Source organism: Homo sapiens, chromosome 5, assembly GCF_000001405.40.
Source record: "Homo sapiens chromosome 5, GRCh38.p14 Primary Assembly".
Lineage (NCBI taxonomy): Eukaryota > Metazoa > Chordata > Mammalia > Primates > Hominidae > Homo > Homo sapiens.
Window position 1 is genome coordinate 79,161,986 of NC_000005.10, and position 8,619 is coordinate 79,170,604.

General features: G+C 44.2%; 1 pseudogene; it reads right to left on the reverse strand.

Annotated features, from left to right (window-relative positions):
* Positions 8,250-8,349, reverse strand: RNY3P1 (RNY3 pseudogene 1; annotated as a pseudogene).

Here is an 8,619-nt window from a genome sequence, read left to right on the forward strand (position 1 = left end):
ATTAGCATATGTACCCTGAAAATATGTACATTTATTATGTATCAATAAAATTTAAATTTTTTTAAAGCGAGGGGAAAAGGGGAACCTGTTTTCATTAATGTAAAGAATTATTTTTAGAGAAATGCCCATGGGTGTTTTTAAAACAGAGCACAGAAACAATTTTCTAACTCTCATAAAGAAGTTTGTTTTGGCCTAAAAAAGAATATATTCATAAAGAAAAAGTTGGGAACTTTTCTGCTTCAGTAAGCCTAGAATATCTGGAATTCTAGAAGATATGGGCAAGCATCCTCTGCTGGACATGGCTTAAATGGGTCAAGCTGATCGTTGAACTAAAAGCATCTTAAGAGTCCCTCTATGGCCAAGCGCGGTGGCTCACGCCTGTAATCCCAGCACTTTGGGAGGCCGAGGCAGGCAGATCACCTGAGGTCAGGAGTTCAAGACCAGCCCGCCCAAATGGTGAAACTCCGTCTCTACTAAAAATACAAAATTAGCCTGGTGTGGTGGTGCATGTCTGTTATCCCAGCTACTCGGGAGGCTGAGGCAGGAGAATTGCTTGAACCTGGGAGGTGGAGGTTGCAGTGAGCCGAGATGGCACCATTGCGCTCCAGCCTGGGCAACAAGAGCAAAACTCCATTTAAAAAAAAAAAAAAAAAGAGTCCCTCTAGCTCCTAGGTCAAAGAAGGCACAGATGAGCCTTGCACTGACAATGTTAAAGGTCTCATTGTCTCTTTTGAATGTTTAGATAGGTAATCTGAAAATTACATTAACAAAATAGTTTGCATGAACTGAAAAATAACTCTGCAGAACACACTCTAAGCCTTTGTAGTTGTTTTACACACCCAAGTGAATTATTCTTGCATGCAAAATTGACTGGTGAGAGATCTTCCTATTGTGTAACAAACACAGAAAAATGTGAGTTGTGTTCTATTTGATGTTGTGGAGTGCAGCAAATTTATTAAAACTTAGAAAATAAGGCTGGACTCAAACTCCTGGGTTCAAGTGATCCTCCTGCCTCAACCTCCTAGGACAACAGGCACATGTCACCAGGCCCAGCTCAGAAAATAATTCTTTTGGAAAGGGGAGGGGGTCTCATGCTGTGGCCCAGACAGAAGTACAGTGGCATGATCATAGCTCATTGTAGTCTCAAACTCCTGGCCTCAAGCAATCCTCCCTTCTCAGCCTCACAACTAGCTAAGACTACAGGGGTGCACCACCACACCTGGATTATTTTTAAAAAAAATTTTTTTTTAGAGACAGGGTCTCACTATGTTGTCCAGACTGGTCTCTAACTCCTGGGCTCAAGTGATTCTCCCACCTCAGCCTCTCAAAGTGCTGGAATAACAGGCTCAAGCCACTGTGCCCAGCTATTTCTTCCACTAATTTTTTTTTTTTTTTTTTTTGAGACAGAGTCGATCTGTCGCCCAGGTTGGAGTGTAGTGGCACGATCTCAGCTCACTGCAACCTCTGCCTCCCAGGTTCAAGCAATTCTCCCACCTCAGCCTCCAGAGTAGCTGGGACTACAGGCAGGTGCCACGATGCCCAGCTTTTTGTATTTTTAGTAGAGATGGGGTTTCACCATGTTGGCCAAGCTAGTCTCAAACTCCTGACCTCAAGTGATCCGCTTGCCTCAGCCTCCCAAACTGCTGGGATTATAGGCATGGGCCACCACACCTGGCCGCTAACATTTTTTCCCTTTTTTTGTGTTTTAATTTTTTTTTGTTGTTGTTCTTTTTCTTCCATTAACTTTGAAAAGGTATTTTAAAGTATTTTAAATACAGAGATCTATATCATTATGCACTGTTAGTAGAAATGAAAAATTATGACAGCATTTCTGGCAAGCAATTTGGCAAGAACCTCAAACGTGTTTATTTCATTTGAACCAATAGTTTTTATTTGTTTGTTTGTTTGAGACACAGTTTCACTATGTTGCTCAGGCTGGTCTCAAACTCCTGTTCTCAAGCGATCCTCCTGCCACAGCCTCCTGAGTAGCTGGGATTACAGGCATGCACCATGATGCCTGCCTAATCAGATAGTTCTGTTCTAGGAGTCTATACTTTAAAAGTTTGTGTGTGTGTAATTGTAATGAAAAATAACGAAAAATTTGAACAAATGAATGGTTAAATTGTTGCATATGATATTATGTAACAATAAAATTTTGAGGAATATTTAGTAATAAGAATGTGTCTAACTCATGATTTTTAAATGTGAATATCCTATTGAGTTTTTCTAATATGGTTTTTTGTTGTTTTTTTTTTGTTTTGTTTTGTTTTTGAGACAGAGTCTGGCTCTGTTGCCCAGGCTGGAGTGCAGTAGCAACATCTCAGCTCACTGCAACATCCTCTCCCGGGTTTAAATGATTCTTGTGCCTCAGCCTCCAGAGTTGCTGGGACTACAGGCGTGCACTACCAGGACTGGCTAATTTTTGTATTTTTAGTAGAAATGGGGTTTCGCCATGTTGGCCAGGCTGGTCTCAAATTCCTGACCTCAGGTGATCAGCCTGGCAGCCTCCCAAAGTGCTAAAATTACTGGCATAAGCCACCGAGCCCAGCCTGATATGCTCCTTAAAAATTAAAATAATGGCCAGGCAGAGTGGTTCATGCCTGTAATCCCAACACTTTGGGAAGCCAAGGTGGGCGGATCACCTGAAGTCAGGAGTTCGAGACCAGCCTGGCCAACATGGCGAAATCCCGTCTCTACTAAAAACACAAAAAATCAGCCAGGCAGCTGGAGGCGGTGGATCACACCTGTAATTCCAGCACTTTGGGAGGCTGAGGTGGGTGGTTCACGAAGTCAAGAGATTGAGACCATCCTGGCCAACAAGGTGACCCCATCTCTATTAAAAATACAAAAATTAGCTGGGCATGGTGGTGCGTGCCTGTAGTCCCAGCTACTCGGGAGGCTGAGGCAGGACAAACGCTTGAATCTGGGAGGTGGAGGTTGCAGGGAGCCGAGATCACGCCCCTGCACTCCAGCCTGGCCACAGAGCTAGATTCCGTCTCAAAAAAAAAAAAAAATTAGCCAGGCGTGGTGGCGGGCGCCTATAATCTCAGCTACTTGGGAGGCTGAGGCAGGTGGATCACCTGAGGTCAGGAGTTGGAGACCAGGCTGGCCAACATGGCGAAACCCCCGTCTCTACTAAAAATTCCAAAAATTAGCCAGGCATGGTGGCGGGCGCCTATAATCCCAGCTACACCAGAGGTTGAGGCAGGAGAATCGCTTGAACCCGCGAGGCGGAGGGTGCAGTGAGCCAAGATTGCGCCACTACACTCCAGCTGGGCAACAGAGCGAGACTGTATCTCAAAAAAAAAAAAAAAAAAAAAAATTACAAACACTATTGAGGTATAACTCATTTGTTGGCTTTATTTTATTTTATTTTATTTTATTTATTTTTGAGACAGAGTCTCGCTCTGTCGCCCAGGCTGGAGTGCAGCTGAGCGATCTCGGCTCTCTGCAACCTCTGCCTCCCGGGTTCAAGAGATTCGCCTGCCTCAGCCTCCCAAGTAGCTGGGATTACAGGCATGTGCCACCACGCTCGGCTAATTTTTGTAATTTTAGTAGAGTCGGGGTTTCGCCATGTTGGCCAGGCTGGTCTTGAACTCCTGACCTCAAGCGATCCGCCTGCCTCAGCCTCCCAAAGTGTTGGGATTACAGGCCTGAGCCGCCTTGCCTGGCCCTTTTTTTTTTTTAAACCTAATATATGATGGAATCCTTACATGAAAGTATACATACAAATAATCTACTTCTATCTTTCATCTTTAAAAAAAGTTTCATAGTCTTTCATGATGCGGAAGTACTTTGGACTTCATAAATAAATAATTGATTTTATTATTTGCAGAATTCTAATTGAATGGATGTAACAACATAGTACCGTAGACAATATTTGCAGCCAGGCGCGGTGGCTCACGCCTGTAATCCCAGCACTTTGGGAAGCTGAGGCAGGCGGATCACGAGGCCAAGAGATTGAGACCATCCTGGCCAACATGGCGAGACCCCGTCTCTACTAAAAATACAAAAACTAGCTGAGGGTGGTAGTGCGCGCCTGTAGTCCCAGCTACTCTAGAGGCTGAAGCAGGAGAATCGCTTGAACCTGGGAGGCGGAGGTTGCAGTGAGCAGAGATTGCGCCACTGCACTCCAGCCTGGCAACAGAGCAAGACTCCATCTCAAAAAAAAAAAAAAAAAAAAGAAAGAAAGAAAGAAAGAAAGGAAAGAAAGAAAAAAGAAAACAATATCTGCAGTGGGTTGTTGACTAATTTTGTGTGTATAGGTCTGTCCATATGGATGCATACAAGAGTTTTCAGAAGGATATACACCTAAATAGTAATAGTGATTATGTCTAAGTAGTGAGATTATAGGTGATTTTCTTCACTATTCTCAGCTGTATTTATTCAAGTATTCTGTAGAACTACTATATTACTTTTACATTAAAGAAAATTATTAGTACGTTTCTCCACTGATATGGTTTGGATCTGTGTCCCTAGCCAAATCTCATGCCAAAACGTAATCCTCAATGGCCAGGTGCAGTGGCTCACGCCTGTAATCTCAGAACTTCGGGAGGCTGAGGCGGAAGGATCACAAGGTCAGGAGATCGAGACCATCCTGGCTAACACGGTGAAACCCTGTCTCCACTAAAAACACACACATAAAAAATTAGCCGGGCGTGGTGGCAGGGGCCTGTAGTCCCAGCTACTTGGAAGGCTGAGGCAGGAAAATGGCGTGAACCCGAGAGGCGGAGCTTGCAGTGAGCCGAGATCGTGCCACTGCACTCCAGCCTGGGCGACAGAGCAAGACTCCGTCTCAAAAAAAAAAAAAAAAAAAAAAAAGTCCTCAATGTTGGAGGTAGGGCCTAGTGGGAGTTGATTGCTCCTGGGGTTGGATTTCTAATGAATGGTTTCACACCATTTCTTGGTGCTGTCCTCTCAATAATGAATGAGTTCTCTGGCGGCGATCTGGCTGTTTATAAGTATGGCACCTTGCCCTCTTTCTTGCTCGGTTTTCACCATGTGGTGTGCCTGCTCCTGATTCGCCTTCCACCATGAGTAAAAGCTCCTTGAGACCTCCTCAGAAACAGATGCCACTATGCTTCCTGTGCAGTTTGCAGAACCATGAGCCAATTAAACCTTTTTTCTTTATAAATTACCCAGTCTGGCCAGGCGCGGTGGCTCACGTCTGTAACCCCAACACTTTGGGAGGCCGAGGCGGGAGGATCACCTGAGGTCGGGAGTTCAAGACCAACATGGGGAAACCCCGTCTCTACTAAAAATACAAAATTAGCTGGGCATGGTGGCACATGCTTGTAATCCCAGCTACTCGGGAGGCTGAGGCAAGAGAATCGCTTGAGCCCGGGAGGCGGAGGTTGCGGTGAGCCGAGATTGCGCCATTGTACTCCAGCCTGGGCAACAAGAGTGAAACTCCATCTCAAAAAAATTAAATAAATAAATAAATACATACATAAATTACCCAGTCTCAGGTATTTCTTTATAGCAATGCAAGAACAGACTAATAAATCCATTCAGTTGAGTAAAAGAGTTCCAGGCACTAAATATGAGCTTTAGCATCAACATCATTAAGGAAGATACTCTACTGGCATAGTTTCAGCAGGCAGCTGGGCCCATCTCTTTCCTGGGCTTAACCAGGCTGGGTCCACCTCTTTCCTGGGCTTAACCAGGCCCGGCCTCTGCTCATAGTATGCATCCACTTGGGATGTCCCCCATTCTGCCCCTCCAAACCCCCTCCTTCCTTCAAAGCCCAACCCAGCTCCTACCTCCTCCAGGCAGCCTATTGGGATTATTCTAGCCTATCTTATACTTAGGTGTATCCTCATTGCTTTCTGGTTTCTTGTCTCTTCATTCCAATCAGATTATAAGCATCCTGAGGGTAAAACTCTTGATTATACTTATTCACATTCTTCACAATGCCTAGTACTGCAGTGAACATGCAGCAGACACCTAACAAATACTTGTTTGTTCTTAAAAGAGATAAAGGAGTATGACACAAGGAGCATTTTAAAAACAAACAAAAAAGAGATAATAAAGGTGAAAATAATGTTTGCCACATTATAGGTAATCAATACATGCTTATTGTACCTGAATGGATAATTTCTCTACTCAAAATTAACAAATCATAAAAGAAATAATCAACCACTCACTGGCAGAGAAGGTAAGAGCAACAGCCCCAGGATATTGGGAACCAGATATGGAGTAAGGAAGAGCCACACCTCTCCTAGCTGTGCTGGCTGTTAAAGATTACATTTTGGGCCAGGCAGAAGTGGTGGTTTATGTCTGTTATCTCTGCCCTTTGGGAGGCTGAAGTGGGAGGATTGCTTGAGCTCTGGAGTTTGAGACCAGCCTGGCCAACATAGTGTCTCTACAAAAATTTTAAAATTAGCCAGATGTGGTGGTGTGAACCTGTAGTCCCAACTACTCAGGAGGCTAAGACAGGAAGATCACTTGAGCCCAGGAGTTCGAGGCTGCAGTGAGCTATGATTGCACACCACTGCACTCCAACCTGGGCAACAGAGTGAGATCTTGTCTCAAAAAAATTAATTAATTAAAGTAAATTTGAGGCCAGATGTGGTGGCTCATGCCTGTAATCCCAGCACTTTGGGAGGCCAAGGCTGGTGGATCACCTGAGGTCAGGAGTTTGAGACCAGCCTGGCCAATATGGTGAAGCCCCATCTTTACTAAGAATACGAAAATGAGGCATGGTGGCGTGCACCTGTAGTCTCTGCTACTCAAGAGGCTGAGGCAGGAGAATAGCTTGAACCTGGGAGGTGAAGGTTGCAGTGAGCCAACATGGCACCACTGTACTCCAGCCTGGGTGACCGAGCAAGACTCCATCTCAAAAAATAAAATAAGATAAAAAATGAAGTAAATTTGAAAGATTACATTTCAAAGGAATGTGAACACCTTGACATAGAATAAATACCTTTAACTTACTAAAAGACAATAGGGGTGATTAATTAGATTGCTTAATCAGATTAATTCAGTCTTCATGCAAGAAACATCTTCAAACTGCTTTAGATCGAAAGGACATCTTCCATCATCTTAACCGGTTTGTTTGCCAACATAGGATTTAATTTTCTGTGTAGGCCTCTGCATTTTACCTATCCTTCTCTCCATGCATACTATCTGCCTCCCAAGCAGACAGCTAAATTTGATTTTTCCTAAATATTCAAAAAAATATCTTTCAGGCTGGACATAGTGGCTCATGCCTGTAATCCCAGCACTTTGGGAGGCCAAAGCGAGTGAATTGCTTGAGGTCAGGAGTTCGAGACCAGCCTAGGCAACACAGCAAGAGCCCATCTCTACGAAAAAAATAAAAAAAGAATTAGCTGGGTGTGGTGATGTGCACCTGCGGTCCCAGCTACACAGGAAGCTGAGGCAGAGGATTTCTTGAGCCAAAGAGGTCAAGGTTGCAGTGAGCCATGTTCACGTCACTGCACTCCAGCCTAGGTGACAAAGCGAAACCCTGTTTCCCCTGCACCACCCGCCACTTGCAAAACACACACACACACACACACACACACACACACACACACCAAAAACTTTCATGTCTTTTCAGTTAACTTTTAAACAAGCCCAGCAGGATTGAATTATGTGGTATAATTTTAGGGACATTTCTGCCCAGGTTCATGAGTTTATCCACCTGCTCTAAAACCTGAAAGACCTTGATCAGGAATCAAAGTGATATATGCTGTACTTGGAGACAAAGCTTAAAAGACACATCCTCAAAGGAAAGCAAAAACATTTATTTAAATTCATTATAAAATATTATCTTCCCAGGTGCTCTATTCAATTTCTTCATCACCATCCACACAGAGAGGACTCACAAATTTATATCTCCAGTGCAAGGCTCTGTGTCCTCAGGTTTCAAACTCGATTATACAACTCACAACTTGCCTTGTCCTCCTGGGATTCTCAAAGCCATCCAAACTTAACATGAGTTCATGCTCTCCCCACTCCCCACACTCACTGATACTCCTAACTTGGTTTCTATGGTCCCGTATCCCAGTGAGCTAGTCATCTGGTTGAACAAGCCTGAAAGGCAGAAGTCATCCATGACAGCTCTCTCTCTCCTCCATGCCCACACCATCCCTCAATTCTGTCAGAACTCTCCAGTGTCTTCCATCTTCTCCATATCATTCAGCCAAACTTTGTCTAATTTAATAACCTCCTAACCAGTCTATCTAGAGCCCTTCTAACCCCAGCCACACCTATATAACATATTAGAGCAAAAGCTCATGTTTTTCAAAGGTTAGTCAAGTGAAGCAGTGGGAGTGGAGAAGGAACAAAGAAATCTGTAACTGGTTGTGATCAATTAGTTGTAAACACCACTGCACTCAGACCAGCTGCAAAATTTGTTGTTGTTGTTGTTGTTTTGAGATGGAGTTTCACTCTTGTTGCCCAGGCTGGAGTGCAATGGCGCAGTCTTGGCTCATTGCAACTTCCAATTCCCGGGTTCAAGCAGTCCTCCTGTGTCAGCCTCCCAAGTAGCTGGAAGTATAGGTGCCCGCCACCATGCCTGGCTAATTTTTGTATTTTTAATAGAGACAGGGTTTCACCATGTTGGCCAGGCTGGTCTCGAACTCCTGACCTCAGGTGATCTCCCTGCCTCGGCCT